This window comes from Homo sapiens, chromosome 3, assembly GCF_000001405.40.
Source record: "Homo sapiens chromosome 3, GRCh38.p14 Primary Assembly".
NCBI classification, from domain to species: Eukaryota; Metazoa; Chordata; class Mammalia; order Primates; family Hominidae; genus Homo; species Homo sapiens.
Window position 1 is genome coordinate 72,011,150 of NC_000003.12, and position 19,587 is coordinate 72,030,736.

The 19,587-nt window shown below is 45.5% G+C and overlaps 3 annotated features.

The window, feature by feature from the left end:
• Positions 6,880-8,079: an enhancer, noted in NCBI's record as "MED14-independent group 3 enhancer chr3:72067180-72068379 (GRCh37/hg19 assembly coordinates)". NCBI's record gives its function as "activates an origin of replication core promoter dependent on BRD2, BRD4, P300/CBP and CDK7 cofactors, and independent of MED14, by STARR-seq in HCT116 cells {active_cell/tissue: HCT116}" and the evidence as "EXISTENCE:reporter gene assay evidence [ECO:0000049][PMID:35650434]".
• Positions 13,613-14,114: an enhancer, noted in NCBI's record as "H3K27ac hESC enhancer chr3:72073913-72074414 (GRCh37/hg19 assembly coordinates)". NCBI's record gives its function as "activates a minimal SCP1, AML or CMV promoter by ChIP-STARR-seq in primed H9 embryonic stem cells {active_cell/tissue: H9 hESC(primed)}" and the evidence as "EXISTENCE:reporter gene assay evidence [ECO:0000049][PMID:30033119]".
• Positions 14,115-14,614: an enhancer, noted in NCBI's record as "H3K27ac hESC enhancer chr3:72074415-72074914 (GRCh37/hg19 assembly coordinates)". NCBI's record gives its function as "activates a minimal SCP1, AML or CMV promoter by ChIP-STARR-seq in primed H9 embryonic stem cells {active_cell/tissue: H9 hESC(primed)}" and the evidence as "EXISTENCE:reporter gene assay evidence [ECO:0000049][PMID:30033119]".

Genomic DNA, 19,587 nt, shown 5'->3' on the forward strand with positions numbered 1-19,587 from the left:
GCTTTCTCTTCCCACAGGGGCTGGTTCAGTCTGTTGTGGGCAGGCAGAAGAACCAGGGAGTTAACAGCCCTGGTAGCAGCCTTCAGCCAAAGACAGATCGATTTAGTAGATTCAACAATGAATTACTACGGTCTTTGGTTGGGAGGACTCCTGGACATGTTCTATATTTTCTCCAGATGTTTCCAACAGTGCTAAGCCTCAGTTGCCCGCTGTGGCAGCCTGCTCTCCAATGCACTCTGATTTAGCCCCCTTCTCTTTCCTGTCTCACTTTCCTATTCTCCTTCCCATGCTTCCTGGGAGTCTCCAAAATAAACCTCTTGCACAGAAATCCTTGCCTCAGAGTCTTCTTCTTAGGGAGCCCAGCCACAGACTCCCTGGGTGGTGGTAAGGTGGCTGCCAACAGTTGTAGGCTTGTACCCTGCCAGTTTCTGGTCTGGTGGAGACAGAGTTTTCTTACAGACACTTCCATTAGAATCCTGAGGCTGACTCTCATTGTTCAGAGTTGGCTACATTCCCATCCCTGGGTTGAAATATACTCATTGACTAGTTCCAGCCACCTACTCACCAGGGAGCTGAGAAGGATGGAGTGAATTCCACTCAATCCTCATGGTCTGGGAAGGGAGGAGGAATCGTTTTCTCATGAATAATGAGGATACTGTTGCCAGTTCAGGGCTGAAGGGATGGTGAACAGGTCGAATCATCAGGTGTCCGTAGCATGTGGGGTCCCCCGAAGGGGACAAACACAGTTCAGAGGAACATGACACAGGTTCTAACTTGGTGGGGAAGATTGTAGGAGGTTAAGGATCAAGGAACCTGAGATATCACCTTCTGAATTACCTACCAACCCCCCCTTTTTAAAGCCACTGAGACTAGGCTTGGTGGCTCATTCCTGTAATCCCAGCACTTTGGGAGGCTGAGGCAAAAGGATTGCTGCAGGTCAGAGTTCAGAACTAGCCTGGGCAACATAACGAGACCCCCATCTCCATTAAGATAAATAAATAAGTCAGTCATCAAGAAGATGGCCAATATTCTTCCTCTCAATAATGGCATGTTTTGAAATACCATGTCATCCAAGCAAAACAGCATGTAGTCAGCAGTAATTAATTCATTCTCATATTTTTAAAACTAATAAATGGCATTATTGAGTCCATGTTCCTAATAATAGAGAAACATACCATTTCCAAGTGGTTATTGGAAATATGAAAAAGGCCTTCCAGTCTCTTCTGTTCTTCTGAGCCCCTAGGAGCTGGGGGATCCCGTCATTTGATAGTTGAGGTCCTCTGGTTATACACAAAACTCTTATCAGGAGATTGGCTAGCAAATTGGGCAATTTTCATTTCTATTAATAGTCTTTATGGCCTGGTGAATTACCCTTCAGGTCACATCTCCCAAAGAAATCCCCTGGCTTCATCATCACAGCGTTTATGTGCTAGAAAGGATCTTTGAGAGATTACACATTTCATGCCTAACTAAGGAAATTGACATGACTGGATGAACCCAGGTTCTCACATTAATTCACAAGCCCTGCGTCTCGGGCCCCTTCTATGTGCCAGGCATCGTGGGGAAACAGAGTGAAGAAATTGGAGACAGTCTGCCTAGCAGAGGAGGCAGACAAAACTTAACAATAAAAACCATAGTTGGTTTCGGTCTACAATGTAAGGAGCTTGGAATCATCCTCACAACAAGAAAAATGCTGAACACACTGGAAATCAGCAGCTCTTAGATCCATCAGAGAATTTTGCTTACAGGGCAAGCTGCTGCCCCCAAAAAACTGGAGAGACAGATGGGTGGCTACAGAGAATCCCAGTTTCCTGAGAGCAGACGTCTCGGCCGAGCCAGGATTGGGATGAATGTGTTCAACTGTAATTGACAAATTACTGGAAGCTCAGTGTGGACCGGATTGAGATGTAAAAATTCTGAGGGGGCTCGTCTTAGGGGCTGCTCACACTTTTGTGGGTTTACCTTCAGGAGCCCTACCAGCTTCTCGCAGTGAAGATCAGAGAAAAAAATCCCTCATGCCTCTGGCAGGGAAACGGAAAAAGAAGCCATTTTTAAGAACTTGAAGTGCTAAGTGCTACGGAGGCAATAAAAAGCGAACACTGAAACAGGAATGAATGAGGAACCCATGGGAGGAGGCAGCACAGAGGACTGAGTGAGCGAGAGCTCAGTCTGTCCCAGGAACTGAGAGGAGTCCCTGGTGGCTGGAACATGGTGAGGGAGGGAAGGTTGGAGAGGAAGCAGGGGCCAGATCACCCAGGTTCATGGGAGTCTGGTCTTTACTTTTCCTCTAACAAGCTTCATCCTTTATTTTTATTGCTCATTGTTATCAAGGCCCTCAGAAACAAACTTCATTCTCTTTTTTTTTTTTTTTTTTTTTTTTTTTGTGACGAAGTCTCGCTCTGTCACCCAGGCTGGAGTGCAGTGGCGAGATCTCTGCTCACTGCAACCTCTGTCTCCTGGGTTCAAGCAATTCTCCTGTCTCAGCCTCCCGAGTAGCTGGAATTGCAAGCACTCGCCACCATGCCCAGCTAATTTTTGTATTTTTAGTAGAGACGGGGTTTCACCATGTTTGTCAGGCTGGTCTTGAACTCCTGACCTTGGGTGATCCACCCGCCTCAGCCTCCCAAAGTGCTGGGATTATAGGCGTGAGCCACTGCGCCCAGCCAAGCTTCATTTTTTATATACAAGCTTGTTAGCAGATGAGCTGGGACATGAGTCTAGTTCTCCCTGCTTTCAGTCTAATGCCTGCTTCCTACTGCCCGAACAAATAAAGTACTAATTTTACAGTGTACGGTCTAGAAAAAACATACATTCAGAAGCAGGTAAGATTTTCAGCAGCCCCAAGTCATGAGGGTCTCCTACAGGGGCAGAGAAGTAGTAAAAAAACAATCATATGCAGTTGGGTAGCCCGTATAGAATGTAGACTAATTATATTCAAATCCTGCCTCTGCCACTGGCCAGCACTAGGATCTGGGACAAGTTACACTACTTTTCCAAGTCCCTGTTTCCTCTTTTGAGGAAAAGAGAAAATAAAAATACCTCTAGATAGGGTTATTGACACAGTTAAATTAAATGAGATAAAGATTGATTTTTCCCCAGACATGTTCATTCCCTAGTCATCCATCTCAGTAAATGGTACCACCTCCCATCTAGTGCAGAGGCTCAAGACAAAGCTATTAGAGTCATTCTTGATGTTTTTCCTTTTCTTGAATCCCAAATCTATCAATCTACTCCAATGATTCTATTTCTGAAACATATCCTAAATTTGTGTGCTGTGGTTTACCTCCATTGCCCACATCCTCGTCCATGACACTATTGTATCTTACCTGGGCTACTGCAATGGTGTCCTAACTGGTCTCCCCGCCTTCTTTTTGTGTGCTACAACCTATTTTTTCACAAAGCAGCTGTTTATACTTGTTAAATGTAATTTGACTATGTGTAACTCCTTAGATTAAGCCCATCCACTGGCTTTTCGGTGTATTTACAATAAAATCCTTAGTCCACGCCTCTCTAATGTTGCATGTGCCTGTGTCTCCATTCCTGTCTCCCTCTCTGCCACACCCTGTGAGAAAAAGTGGATCATTCCGTGTGATTCTTAACCTTCTAGAATAACCCTGCCATGGCTTTACATGGTAGAGGAGACTTCCTCATACCTGGACTTGGGGCTTGGCCATAAGACTTCTTTTGGCCAGTGGCATATTAGTGGTCATGACATGGAAAGAACCCTGAAATGTGTGGATGGTGCACTTTATCTCTCCCCTGTTCTTCTGGAAACACCACCAGGAGAAGGGTGTGCTCTACGCAGCTGCTTGTCCAAGGAGAGTGAGAGAAGATTTGCAGCAGATTTTAACATAACCCATAGTCTGGAACCAAGCCTCGCCGAGCTGCAGCCAGAAGAAGAGCCATCCCAGAAAACCCCCAGTTTAATGGTAATGTTTAATACACTCGGACCACCAGTTTTGTCTCCTTTCCTGAAACTTTCATGCTGTTCCCTCTGTTTGAAGCTATTCTCTTTGGAACAGAGTTTCTCAGCCTCGGCACTATTGACATTTGGGCCTTGATAATTCTGTGTTGTGTATGTATGCGGGGCAGTTGTGGGGAGTGTCCTGTACATTGTAGGATGTTTAGCACATTCCTGGCCTCTGTTCACTAGATGCTATAGCACACCTTCTGGTTGTGACAACCCACCATGCCACTAGACATTGTCAAATGCCCCCTGGAAGGCAGAATTATCTCCAGTTGAGAATCACTGGACTAGAACATCCCAGATCTTCACAAAGCTGGCTCCTTCTTGTCATTTAGGTCTCACCTCTGATGCACTTCTTCAGCAAGTCCATACCTGATCATCTTGTTGGGGCTCAGAACACAATACTCCAAAGTACAGCGCTTTAGCATGCTGAGTACTTTGAACTAAAGGAGACTGGATGGACCTCTGAAGCAAGCAAGGTCTCTCTGACCTTCTCCTGCCCTCCCCCCAGCCTCCGCCCCTCTTTCTGCCCTGAAATGAGTCATAGAAGCCAGAGTTCTTCTTCCTCAAGGTGGGTCACAGAAACTAGAACTTCTCTCCCGCAAAGCAAGCCATAAAACCTATGTAGGCCTCTCTCCCTTCCCACTTAAAGACCTTCATCTCAGAAGGGTCCTGCCTCGTACCAGGGTGGGGTGGAAGCGGGGAGGAATGCTACACAGAGAGCCAAGAATCAGGCGGCAGGCCTTGATGGGTGTGATACTACCATGTATTTTTTGGTCCATCCCGATTCCTGGCTCTCAGTTACTGTAAGCCTTGTTATTTCCTAAGTGACTGGAGCAATAAGAATATCATCTGTTAAAATATTTGCTCTTTTCTCTTTGGTTCCTGAAGTAGCACCTAAACGATAAAGGTGAAAGACAGTCTTTTGTTAATTACACCAAGCCCTTTCAAACACACCTGGGCTTATGTTAATTAGACAGTTTTTGGAAAGCCCCTAGATACTACAGGATAAAGGTCTGGTTGCCAGGAGAAGCAGCCTTGTGATCAGAGGGTTGAAACTGGAACTTTCGGACCCACTCCTTAACCTCCAGGGAGGAGAGAGGGGATGAAGGTTAACTTGATAGCTAGAGGCTAATGGTTTAATCAATCATCCCTTCGTAATAAACCTTCTATAAAAACCCAAAATGGACAGAGTTCAGAGAGCTTGATAATAAACCTTCTATAAAAACCCAAAATGGACAGAGTTCAGAGAGCTTGGGGAGAGCTGAGCACATGGGGACTTACACATTCCCAACTCCTGCATTCGGGACCCTTCTAGACCCTGCCCTATGTTTCTCTTCATGTAGCTGTACATCTGTAGCCTTTGTAATATCCTTTAAAATAAGCTAATAGACGTAAGTAAGTGTTTCTTTGAGTTCTGTGAGTTACTCCAGCAAATTAATCGAACCCAAAGAAGAAGCTGTGGGAATTCCAATTTGTAGCTCGTTGGTCAGAAGCATAGGTAAGACAACCTGGGGCTTGCAACTGGCATTGGAAGTCAGGGGCGGTCTTGTGGAACTGAGCCCTCAATATGTGGGTTGTCATGCTATCTCCAGGTAGATAGTGTCAGAAATGAATTGCGTTAAAGGCAGGTGGTTTCTGCAGGAGAATCTGCTGCAGAATTAACTGACTGGTTGGTTGATGGTGAGAAGGAATCCCCCCATGCTTCTTGGTGACCAGGGAACATTGAAGGCTTTTGCATTGATTGTTGAGTGACAGTGTGGTAGGAGAAACTGAGCTTGTTTTTTTCTACTCACTGGATTCTCCCCCTCAGTCTATTACCATTAGATTATACCCTTCTGTCCAATCACACTTCTACACGGCTATCCATTCTTCATGCAACCTAAGCATAAAAATTGATAGTTTTCCTTGGGTCTCTGGGTCTAAATTTCTGAAGGCTCCTATATCACATAAAACTTTGATTAAACAAATGCGTTATGTTTTTCTCTTGTTAACCTGTCCTTTGCTATAGGAGTGTAGGCCATGACCCTTACGATGGGTGAGGAAGGGCATCATGTCTTTTGCGGCTACAGTTGATTATCTTGCTCATTTATTTCTTGACTTGTTTTTCTTCCTTTCCTTCTTGCCATCACAGTGTGAGAGCCACAAAAGCAGGACCCTTGTCTGTTTTGTTGGCCATGAAAGTCTCCACTTTTAGAATGGTTCATGGCACATGACAGGCATTCCATAAACTTATTCCAATGAATGAAAGGTCAGAAGACACCCTGTCAACTGTGTTGACTTTAAAGCATTATATGAATTAATTATAAAAATAATAAAAGAAAGAAAAGTTATCAGAAGCAGGTCCACAGGGAGTTGAGCAGCTGGGAAATTTCTGATGCTATAATTTCCTTCTGCAGCTGTTGTCCTTCAAGTTTTGGACAGAACTACCATCAGAATGAATGTTCTGGAGCCCTAGCTGGGTTGTTTGAGAGCACTCATTGCTCCTAGGATATCTTTAGAATGGATTTAAACAGCAAAATAGTTCAGTGGATGTGATTTAGTTTATTCCCCCAAAGCAGCTGTGTCCCCCCATCCACCGCCCCCACCTCCACTGATAGCTCTGCCTCTATTTGCATATGTAGCCTTCAAATAGGCACAAGTTAATAGATGGGGGTGAAGGAGGCATGTTAAAGCAAATGAGTAGGGGTACAAACCTGTTCTTAATAACTCAATGCATGGAATTTATCATCACCCTCCATGTATCCTCTAACTTAATAACAATCGACAATGCCAGTTTCCCATCGGTATCAGCCCATCAGAGTGAAATTATTTTTCCCAAATGAAGACATCACCTTAAATACAGAATCAGCAACATCAAAGGATTTGCTGGTACTTTCAGTGGCTCAATGGGAAGGTAAGGGGAGGGGAGGTGTGACTGGGCCCCAGTGCTCAAATCACACTTTGCTCTGCAAGCTGGTGAGATAAGAAATGGCCCATGCTCCTCTCGGGGAAGGCAGTGAATGTGTTGCATGTGAACTGGGATTTAGGGGCTTGAGAGAGGGAGTGGAGACAATGACAGATGATGCTTGACAAGGTCTTCCCAGAGATCAGGCAAGACAGATATGTTTTGACTCAATCTGATAGGACCTGAGACCCTGTGGTAAATTCTCAGAGCTTTACAGCTCCCTTTGGAAGACCAAATGTCTGATTTAAATTCCTTGTGTTTCAGTTTAGGCCTATTTCATTTCATTCTTTCTTTTCCATAAGCTGCAAGTTGCTTCCCACTGGGTGATATGATTCCCATTGACACGGAAAAGTGATAAACAGCTTTACCTTGACCCCTCACTCCCTCCACAGGATCCTGCAGTTTCAGACCCTCTTCTTTAGGAACCACTCTGTCACTCTGCCCACTCAGTAGCCACATTTTCGCTGAGTCATCCCTCCCTGGCCCTAGCTAGCCCTAGCTGGCCCTAGCTGACCCCACCGGCCCTAGCTGGGCCAATCAGGACCTCTCGCCTCAGAACTGAGCCACAGAGAAGGAAGCTGAGTCACATCACAGCAAAGCTCTGAAGGGGTTCGGTTCTTGCTACCCCCAAAATTTGCCAGTTTGATACACTGATTATTTTGAGTTGAAGGCACTTAAAAAAACAGCAGTGCAGAGAGAGGCCCTCTCTGAACTTCCCTTACCTGCCTAAGGACAGATCCTGCAAAAGAAACTAAATTGTCATCAGTCCCATCCCTGGGAGTTTCATCAACCAGGGAAGATGAACTCATCACAGAGAGACTAGAAGTTGACACCACTCTCAAACAAACTTTGTCACAACCTAGCATATTTCCCATCTTATTTTCTATGGGCTCATTCATCTTTCCTAAAAATCTTCTACTCTCCTAAGTGACCTGCATCCCACCCCACTTTCCTTATTAAGATGGAATGGAAGCTCTCAAATCTCACTGCTTTTCTGAGGTATTCACTTTTTTTTCTGTGATGCATTCATGCATGTTACATTAAGAATTCATAAATTTATATACTTTTTTTCCTGTTAATCTCCCTGTTGTCAGTTAATTTCATAGATCCAGCTATCAAACCTAGGAAGGTAAAGAGAAAAATCTTTCCTCCCCTACAGCTCTCAAGAAGAAACCACAAACTGGACAGAGATCTAGCTGGCAGATATGCTTTATTTGGCCTGCATGGTTTTTAAAATATTGTAAACTTTACTAAAAACCCAGACTTTTGGATTCTGTTAGAAAACTGGACCATCTAACTGTACCAGGCCTGGGATTCTGAAAGGCAGCAATTGTCTGGAGCTAAGTAGCACCCTCTTTAGTTGGGTCCCACACTCTCCAGTTCCCCACAGTCCCTGCCAATCCATTTTGTTTACCCTGCCCTCGTTAATCCTACCTTCTAGTGCTTGGGAGCATTACTGTTTGGGATTCTTGCTCTAGAAGGAAAAATCTCAGCGGGCCTCGGTGACTCACGCCTGTAATCCCAGCACTTTGGGAGGCCGAGGCAGGTGGATCACTTGAGGTCAGGAGTTCGAGATCAGCCTGGCCAACAAGATGAAACCTAGTCTCTACTAAAATTCAAAAATTAGCTAGATGTGGTGGTAGGTGCCTGTAATCTCACCTACTCAGGAGGCTGAGACAGAATTGCTTGAACCCAGAAGGCAGAGGTTGCAGTGAGCCAAGAATGTGCCACTGCACTCCAGCCTGGGTGACAGAGTGAAACTCCATCTCAAAAAAATAAAATAAAAAGAAGAAAAAATCTTAAATACCTGTTGGAGCAGCCCTGGTGTTTGCTCTCTCTCTCTGTTTCTGTATTGTTTAGACAGAGTCTCGCTCTGTTGCCAGGATGGAGTACAGTGGCACCATCTCGGCTCACTGCAACCTCTTCCTTCCAGGTTCAAGTGATTCTCCTGCCTCAGCCACCCAAGTAGCTGGGACCACAGGCATGTGCCATCATGCCCAGCTAATTTTTCTATTTTTAGTAGAGATGGTGTTTCACCATATTGGCCAGGTTGCTCTCGAACTCCTGGCCTCAAGTGATCTGCCTGCCTTCCAAAGTGCTGGAATTACAGGCGTGAGCCACCACACCCAGCCTGGTATCTGCTCTTTTAAGGTCTGTTTGTTCAACCTTTTAATGAAGTCCATGAGATACCTCTGTAACTCTTGTTACAAAAATATAAGGAAAAGAAATCTTGGGACCCCAAATTCACTAAGCCAAAGGTAAAAGCCAAACTGGAAACTGGATTACACATACCTAACTCCCATTTTGGTTCCCAAATAAGACAGCTACAAAGATGAAAAGCTACGTAACTTCCTCACATTTTGCCCACAAGAAAATTCCTTGTGGTCCCCAAGATCTTCACCCTAAAGCAGTTCTGCTGAAGTTCACCATGATAATGTAAATTGATGGCTTATCTTCTGCAGCTGCATAGGGACACAGGACAGAACTCAGTCATCCCTCTGCATATCTGATTGTTTCCTCCGCCCTACTGTCTGCATTCCCTCTTTTTTGTTTTTTTTTTTTTGAGATGGAGTTTCTCTCTTGTCACCCAGGCTGGAGTCAAGTGGTGCAATCTCAGCTCACTGCAACCTCAGCCTCCTGGGTTCAAGCAATTCTCCTGCCTCAGCCTCCCGAGTAGCTGGGATTACAGGTGCCCGCCACCACGTCCAGTTAATTTTTTGGATTTTTTTTTCTTTGTTTTTTTTTTTTTTTTTTTTTTTTTTTTTGAGACAGAGTCTCACTCTGTCACCCAGGCTGGAGCACAGTGGCGCGATCTCAGCTCACTGCAACCTCCGCCTCCCAGGTTCAAGTGATTCTCCTGCCTCAGCCTCCTGAGTAGCTGGGACTACAGGTGCACGCCACCATGCCTGGCTGATTTTTTGTATTTTTAGTAGAGATGGGGTTTCATCGTGTTAGCCAGGATGGTCTCAATCTCCTGACCTTGTGATCTGCCTGCCTTGGCCTCCCAAAGTGCTGGGATTACAGGCATGAGCCACTGCGCCTCGCTGCATTACCTTACATACAAAATGCAGACTCACTGAGCCTGACAAAGACATGAATGACTATTTTCCCCTCTCCCCTTCATCTGAAAATTGTGTACTTCTCAATATCCTGCCCTTCAAACATGGAAGACCTCAAAACCATCTTTGGAGAAAGGCCTAGACCTGTCTCCTGGGCATGTGTCCTTAACTTTGGCAAATAAACTTCCTAAAATGATTGAACTTGCCAAGGTCATTTTCTCTGATTTATACTATTGAGGACTAATCTCTGCTTTTTTTCTCTTGCCCAAATTCCTATCTATGGGGTCTGGGGAATCATGCCCTATAAACCATAAATTCTCATTCGTTGGGTTTTATTTAACACTATATATCATGACTTACTTTCCAATCTGACTCTGGTATAACATTATGTAACAAAGAAGAAAATAAAAATATTTTACCCCAAAACATTTTTCTTTGCCATGTTTTGAAATGGCCTTGCAAAGCCATCCTTTGTGGGGGGAAAATTTGCATCTGTAAAGAATCTCTATTAACATAACTAGATCTTTTTCTTCCAGGCCTTCCCAATCCTGAAGAGATTAACTGAGAGTCTAGCACCTCTTTAAAGGTCCAAATAGGAAACATGTGTCATGTATTGTCTCTAAGGGCAGCCACTTTGAGAGTTCAAATGAACCTGTCTCCACAATCTTTTCTCTTAACCTGAATATTTTCTTTCTGTTAATCCCAGGTCTTTAGACAAACTTGACCAATTGTCAACCAGAAAATGTTTAAATTTAGCTATAACCTGGAAGCATCCCCCTGTCCTTTGAATTGTCCCGCCCTTCTGGACCAAACCAATGTATTTCTCAAACGTATTTGATTGATGTCTCATGCCTCCCTAAAATGTATAAAACCAAGCTGCATTCCAACCACCTTGGGCACATGTTCTCTGGACCTCCGGAGGCAGTGTCCTGGGCCATGGTCACTCATATTTGGCTCAGAACAAATCTCTTCAAGTATTTCACAGAGTTTGACTCTTTTCATCAACAACCTTAATCCAATATGACTGGTGTCCTTATGAGAAGAGAAAGAGATAGCAGGGAGACACAGGTCCAGAGGAAAGGCCACGTGATGACACAGAGAGAAGGTGGCTATCTACAAACTAGGGAGAGAGGTCTTAGACAAAAACCAGCCCTGCCGACATCTTGATCTCAGGCTTCCAGCCTCCAAAACTGTGAGACAACAGATTTCTGGTGTTTAAGCCACCCAGTTTGTGGTGCTTGTTAAGGCAGCCCTGGAAAGCGAATACAGTATCCCATCAGAAACATTCCTTCTCCCCGCCCCCCTCATTATTTAAACTAGCTCAAGTTTCTTTCCGGTACTTGCAACCAGAACCCCAACTAAGAATCGTGCTTTCTCCTGCAGTCATATAACGTTTCCTTCATTTTTCCCAGTTTCCTTGCTCTAGCTTTTAATTACATTTTCTTATAAGCCCCACATGTGAAGTTTTGTAAACTCAAGTGTCTGAGTCAAGGTCTTTGGTTTAAGTGGAGAAGCTGTGTCAGAAATGGAGGCAAATACTATCCCTTTCTCTATGCCTCTGCTCGACTAGCTGTGTTACCAGAAAGGGGTCCTGATTCAGATCCCAAGAGAGGGTTCTTGGATCTCACGCAAGAAAGAATTCTGGGCAAGTCCACACAATAAAGTGAAAACAAGCTTACTAAGAAAGTAGAGGAATAAAAGAATGGCTACACCTAATGCAGAGCAGCCCCCAGGGCTGCTGGTTTCCCATTTTTATGTTTTTTTCTTGATGATATCCTAAACAAAGGGTGGATTATTCATGCCTTTCCTTTTTAGACCATATAGGGTAACTTCCTGGCATTGCCATGACATTTGTAAATTGTCCTGGCACTGGTGGGAGTGTAGCAGTGAGGACCATCAGAGGTCACTCTGATTGCCATCTTGGTGTTGGTGGGATTTGGCTGGCTTCTTTACTGCAACCTATTTTATCAGCAAGGTCTTTATGACCTGTATCTTGTGCCAACTGTCAGGCCTCTGAGCCCAAGCTAAGCCATCATATCCCCTGTGACCTGCACGTACACATCCAGATGGCCAGTTCCTGCCTTAACTGATGACATTCCACCACAAAAGAAATGAAAATGGCCTGTTCCTGCCTTAACTGATGACATTATCTTGTGAAATTCCTTCTCCTGGCTCATCCTGGCTCAAGAGCTCCCCTACTGAGCACCTTGTGACCCCCACTCCTGCCCGCCAGAGAACCCCCCTTTGACTGTAATTTTCCTTTACCTACCCAAATCCTACAAAATGGCCCCACCCCCATCTCCCTTCGCTGACTCTTTTCGGACTCAGCCCACCTGCACCCAGGTGAAATAAACAGCTTTATTGCTCACAGAAAGCCTGTTTGGTGGTCTCTTCACACGGACGTGAGTGAAATTTGGTGCCATGACTAGGATCGGGGGACCTCCCTTGGGAGATCAATCCCCTGTCCTCCTGCTCTTTGCTCTGTGAGAAAGATCCACCTACAACCTCAGGTCCTCAGACCGACCAGCCCAAGAAACATCTCACCAATTTCAAGTCCGGTAAGCGGCCTCTTTTTACTCTCTTCTCCAACCTCCCTCACTATCCCTCAACCTCTTTCTCCTTTCAATCTTGGCACCACACTTCAATCTCTCCCTTCTCTTAATTTCAATTCCTTTCATTTTCTGGTAGAGACAAAGGAGACACATTTTATCCATGGACCCAAAACTCCGGTGCTGGTCATGGACTAGGGAAGGCAGCCTTCCCTTCGTGTTTAATCATTGCAGGGATGCCTGTATGATTATTCACCCAGGTTTCAGAGGTGTCAGACCACGCAGGGACGCCTGCCTTGGTACTTCACCCTTAGCGGCAAGTCCCACTTTTCTGGGGGAGGGGCAGGAAACCTAATCCCCTATCTCTGTGCCCCAGTCCTTATTTCTGCACCCCAACCTCTTATATCTGCGCCCCAACCCCTTATTTCCATGCCCCAACCCCTTCTCTGCTTTTATGGAGGGCAAGAACTCCCCACCCCTTCTCCGCTTTTATGGAGGGCAAGAACCCCCCACCCCTTCTCCGTGTCTCTACTCTTTTCTCTAGGCTTGCCTCCTTCACTATGGGCAAGCTTCCACCTTCCATTCCTCCTTCTTCTCCCTTAGCCTGTGTTCTTAAGAACTTAAAACCTCTTCAACCCTCACCTGACCTAAAATCTAAGTGTCTTATTTTCTTCTGCAATGCTGCTTGACCCCAATACACACTCAACAGTAGTTCCAAATAGCTGGAAAATGGCACTTTCAATTTTTCCATCCTACAAGGTCTAAATAATTCTGTCGTAAAATAGGCAAACGGTCTGAGGTGCCTGACGTCCAGGCATTCTTTTACACATCAGTCCCTCCCTAGTCTCTGTTCCCAATGCAACTTGTCCCAAATCTTCCTTCTTTCCCTCCTACCTGTCCCCTCAGTCCCAACCCCAAGTGTCCCTGAGTCTTTCTAATCTTCCTTTTCTACAGACCCATCTGACCTCTCCCCTCCTTGCCAGGCTGAGCTAGGTCCCAATTCTTCCTCAGCCTCCGCTCCTCCACCCTATAATCCTTTTATCACCTCCCCTCCTCACACCCGGTCCAGCTTACAGTTTTGTTCCGTGACTAGCCCTCCCCCACCTGCCCAGCAATTTACTCTTAAAAAGGTGCCTGGAGCTAAAGGCATAGTCAAGGTTAATGCTCCTTTTTCTTTATCCCAAATCAGATAGCGTTTAGGCTCCTTTTCATCAAATATAAAAATCCAGCCTAGTTCATGGCTCATTTGGCAGCAACCCTGAGATGCTTTACAGCCCTAGACCCTAAAAGGTCAAAAGGATGTCTTATTCTCAATATACATTGTATTACCCAATCTGCTCCCGACATTAAATAAAACTCCAAAAATTAAATTCTGGCCCTCAAACCCCACAACACGACTTAATTAACCTCGCCTTCAAGGTGTACAATAATAGAGTAGAGGCAGCCAAGTAGCAACATATTTCTGAGTTGCAATTCCTTGCCTCCACTGTGAGACAAACCCCAGCCACATCTCCAGCACACAAGAACTTCCAAACGCCTAAAGCACAGTGGCCAGGCATTCCTCCAGAACCGCCTCCCCCAGGAGCTTGCTACAAGTGCCAGAAATCTGGCCACAAGGCCAAGGAATGCCTGCAGCCCAGGATACCTCCTAAGCCATGTCCCATCTGTGTGGGACCCCACTGGAAACTGGTCTGTTCAACTTACCTGGCAGCCACTCCCAGAGACCCTGGAACTCTGGCCCAAGGCTCTCTGACTGGCTCCTTCTCAGATCTTCTTGGCTTAGTGGCTGAAGACGGACACTGCCCGATTGCCTTGGAAGCCCTGTAGACCATCTCAGACACTGAGCTTTAGGTAACTCTCACAGTGAAGGGTAAGTCCATCCCCTTCTTAATCAATATGGAGGCTACCCACTCCACATTACCTTCTTTTCAAGGGCCTGTTCCCTTGCCTTCATAACTGTTGTGGGTATTGAAAGCCAGGCTTCTAAACCTCTTAAAACTCCCCAACTCTGGTGCCAACTTAGACAATACTCTTTTAAGCACTCCTTTTTAATTATCCCCACCTGCCCAGTTCCCTTATTAGGCCGAGACACTTTAACTAAATTATCTGCTTCCCTGACTATTCCTGGATTACAGCTACATCTCGTTGCCGCCCTTCTTCCCAATCCAAAGCCTCCTTTGTGTTCTCCTCTTGTATGCCCCCACCTTAACCCACAAGTATAAGATACCTCTACTCCCTCCTTTGCGACCGATCATGCACCCCTTACCATCTCATTAAAACCTAATCACCCTTACCCCGCTCAATGGCAATATCCCATCCCACAGCATGCTTTGAAAGGATTAAAGCCTGTTATCACCTGCCTGCTACAGCATGGCCTTTTAAAGCCTATAAACTCTCCTTACAATTCCTCCATTTTACCTGTCCTAAAACCAGACAAGGCTTACAAGTTAGTTCAGGATCTATGCCTTGCCAACCAAATCGTTTTGCCTATCCACCCCATGGTGCCAAAACCATATACTCTCCTATCCTCAATACCACCCTCCACAACCCATTATTCTGTTCTGGATCTCAAACATGCTTTCTTTACTATTCCTTTGCACCCTTCATCCCAGCCTCTCTTTGCTTTCACTTGGACTGACCCTGACACCCATCAGGCTCAGCAAATTACCTGGGCTGTACTGCTGCAAAGCTTCACAGACAGCCCCCATTACTTCAGTCAAGCCCAAATGTCTTCCTTATCTGTTACCTATCTCAGCATAATTCTCATAAAAACACACGTGCTCTCCCTGCTGATCATGTCCAACTAATCTCTCAAACCCCAACCCCTTCTACAAAACAACTCCTTTCCTTCCTGGGCATGGTTGAATACTTTTGCCTTTGGATACCTGGTTTTGCCATCCTAACAAAACCATTATATAAACTCACAAAAGGAAACCTAGCTGACCCCATAGATCCTAAATCCTTTCCCCACTCCTCTTTCTGTTCCTTCAAGACAGCTTTAGAGACTGCCCCCATCCTATCTCTCCCTGACTCATCCCAACCCTTTTTATTACACACAGCCGAAGTGCAGGGCTGTGCAGTTGGAATTCTTACACAAGGACCGGAATCGCGTCCTGTAGCCTTTTTGTCCAAACAACTTGACCTTACTGTTTTAGGCTGGCCATCATGTCTCCGTGCAGTGGCTGCTGCCGCCCTAATACTTTTAGAGGCCCTTAAAATCTCAAACTATGCTCAACTCACTCTCTAGAGCTCTCATAATTTCCAAAATCTATTTTCTTCCTCACACCTGACACATATACTTTCTGCTCCCCGGCTCCTTCAGCTGTACTCACTCTTTGTTAAGTCTCCCACAATTACCATTGTTCCTGGCCCGGACTTCAATCCGGCCTCCCACATTATTCCTGATACCACACCTGACCCCCATGACTGCATCTCTGATCCACCTGACCTTCACCCCATTTCCCCACATTTCCTTCTTCCCTGTTTCTCACCCTGATCACACTTGGTTTATTGATGGCAGTTCCATCAGGCCTAATCGCCACACACCAGCAAAGGCAGGCTATGCTATAGTATAAGCCACTAACCCGCCTCTTAGAACCTCTCATTTCCTTTCCATCGTGGAAATCTGTCCTCAAGGAAATAACTTCTCAGTGTTCCATCTGCTATTCTACTACTCCTCAGGGATTCTTCAGGCCCCCTCGCTTCCCTACACATCAAGCTCAGGGATTTGCCCCCTCCCAGGACTGGCAAATTAGCTTTACTCAACATGCCCCGAGTCAGGAAACTAAAATACCTCTTGGTCTAGGTAGACACTTTCACTGGATAGGTAGAGGCCTTTCCCACAGGGTCTAAGAAGGCCACCACGGTCATTTCTTCCCTTCTGTCAGACATAATTCCTCGGTTTGGCCTTCCCACCTCTATACAGTCCAACAGCAGACCGGCCTTTATTAGTCAAATCAGCCAAGCATTTTTTCAGGCTCTTGGTATTCAGTGAAACCTTTATATCCCTTACAGTCCTCAGTCTTCAAGAAAGGTAGAACAGACTAATGGTCTTTTAAAAACACACCTCACCAAGCTCAGCCACCAACTTAAAAAGGACTAGACAATACTTTTACCACTTTCCCTTCTCACAATTCAGGCCTGTCCTTGGAGTGCTACAGGGTGCAGCCCATTTAAGCTCCTGTGTGGATGCTCCTTTTTATCAGGCCTCAGTCTCATTCCAGACACCAGACCAACTTGGACTGTGCCCCAAAAAACTTGTCATCCCTACTATCTTCTGTCTAGTCATACTCCTATTCACCGTTCTCAACTACTCATACATGCCCTGCTCTTGTTTACACTGCCGGTTTACACTGTTTCTCCAAGCCATCACAGCTGATATCTCCTTGTGCTATCCCCAAACTGCCACTGTTAACTCTTAAATAAATAATCTTTGCTGGCAGGACTATGCTGAATCTCCTTAGGCACTCTCTAATTAGATGTCCTGGGTCCTCCCAATTATTAGTCCTTTAATACCTGTTTTTCTCCTTCTCTTATTCCATTTAGTTTTTCAATTCATACAAAACCGTACCCAGGCCATGACCAATAATTCTAAATGACAAATATTTCTTCTAACAGTCCCACAATATCACCCCTTACCACAAAATCTTCCTTCAGCTTAACCTCTCCCACTCTAGGTTCCCACGCCGCCCCTAATCCGGCTCAAAGCAGCCCTGACAAACATCGCCCATTATCTCTCCATACCATCCCCTCAAAATTTTCGCCGTCCCAACACTTTACCACTATTTCATTTTATTTTTCTTATTAATATAAGAAGACAGGAATGTCAGGCCTCTGAGCCCAAGCTAAGCCATCATATCCCCTGTGACCTGCACGTACACATCCAGATGGCCAGTTCCTGCCTTAACTGATGACATTCCACCACAAAAGAAATGAAAATGGCCTGTTCCTGCCTTAACTGATGACATTAACTTGTGAAATTCCTTCTCCTGGCTCATCCTGGCTCAAAAGCTTCCCTACTGAGCGCCTTGTGACCCCCACTCCTGTCCGCCAGAGAACAACCCCCCTTTGACTGTAATTTTCCTTTACCTACCCAAATCCTATAAAATGGCCCCACCCCTATCTCCCTTTGCTGACTCTCTTTTTGGACTCAGCCCGCCTGCACCCGGGTGAAATAAACAGCTTTATTGCTCACACAAAGCCTGTTTGGTGGTCTCTTCACACGGACGCCAGTGAAACCGACCTCCTATCTCATCCTGTGACTTAGAATGCCTAACCTCCTAAGAATGCAGCCCAGTAGGTCTCAGCCTCACTTTACTCCGCCCCTATTCAAATGGGGTTGCTTTGGTTGGAATGCCTCTGACAGCTGTGCAGCCTTGCAGGGCTTATTGATACGTCTGGATATTGTGATTGGATAAGTATCAATCTTTACCTCGTTGCAAAATAGGAAATACCTGTCTGAAAGAGCTCAACGTTACATTACCTTCTTAATGGGGACCATAAGGCGGTCAAGAAGAAAAAAATGAGTTTTGAGGGAGGTAAAAATCCCTTAAGTTTTTAAATGCGTAAAGCACAGATAGACATAAAGCACACAAATCAATATATGGAATAGCTGTGGTTTTAGTTTCATGGGTGGCAGATCAAGAAAAAAAATGCCTAGAAAGGCTCTGTAGGGGGCTGAAACATTTTAAAAATGGTTGAGAAACACTGAACTGTATGTTTGGTGTAGCGCTACTACTCCTTTTTGAAAGACATTGCTTTCAGGGCCTTTACATAGTGATGCTAATGTGGACAATTTTACAAATTGTCAAGTAGAAAATTATCCTTTGGCCAGGCACAGTGGCTCACTCCTGTAATCCCAGCACTTTGGGAGGCCAAGGCAGGTGGATCACTTGAGGTCAGGAGTTCAAGACCAGCCTGGTCAACATGGTGAAACCCTGTTTCTACTAAAAAAACAAAAATTAGCTGGGTGTGGTGGTGTGCACCTGTAGTCTCAGCTACTCAGGAGGCTGAGGCTGGAGAACTGCTTGAACCCGGGAGGTGGTGGCTCAGTGAGCTGAGATCACACCACTGCACTCCAGCCTGGGCAACAGGGTGAGACCCTGTCTCAGAAAAAAAAAAAAAAAAAAAAACCAGAAAAGATAAAAGCTATCCTTCTACACAAAGTGTAATCAAGCCGACAAAGCCATCTAGTCTTGATGACTGAAGGGCAAAGTTAAAAAAGAAGGAACTTACGAGGGTAGGGCCAATGGATGCCCACACCATAGCATTCCCTCTGCCTTTCTTTTTCTTTTTTTGGTGGGAAGGGGACAGGGTCTCACTCTGTCATCCAGGCTGGAGTGCAGTGGCACAATCATGGTTCACTGCAGTCTCAACCTCCTGGGCTCAAAGGATCCTCCCACCTCAGCCCCTAACCTTCCCTCTCCCAGTAGCGGGGACCACAGATGCATGCCACCATGCCTGGCTAATTTTTGTATTTTTTGTAGAGACATGGTTTTGTGCCGAGACTAGCTCGGTCGGGGAGACCCTAACCCAGCGGTGCTAGAGGAATTAAAGACACACACACAGAAATATAGAGGTGTGAAGTGGGAAATGAGGGGCCTCACAGCCTTCAGAGCTGACAGCCCCGAACAGAGATTTACCCACATGTTTATTAACAGCAAACCAGTCATTAGCATTGTTTCTATAGATATTAAATTAAGTAAAAGTATCCCTTATGGGTGAAGGGATGGGCCAAATTAAAGCAATAGGTTGGGCTAGTTAACTGCAGCATGTCCTTAAGGCACAGATTGCTCATGCTATTGTTTGTGGCTTAAGAATGCCTTTAAGCGGTTTTCCACCCCCAGCGGGCCAGGTGTTCCTTGCCCTCATTCCCGTAAACCCACAACCTTCCAGCGTGGGCATTAGGGCCATTATAAACATGTTACAGTGCTGCAGAGATTTCGTTTATGGCCAGTTTTGGGGCCAGTTTATGGCCAGATTTTGGAGGGCCAGTTCCCAACAGTTTTGCCACGTTGCCCAGGCTGGTCTCGAACTCCTGGGCTCAAGTGATCTGCCCACCTTGGC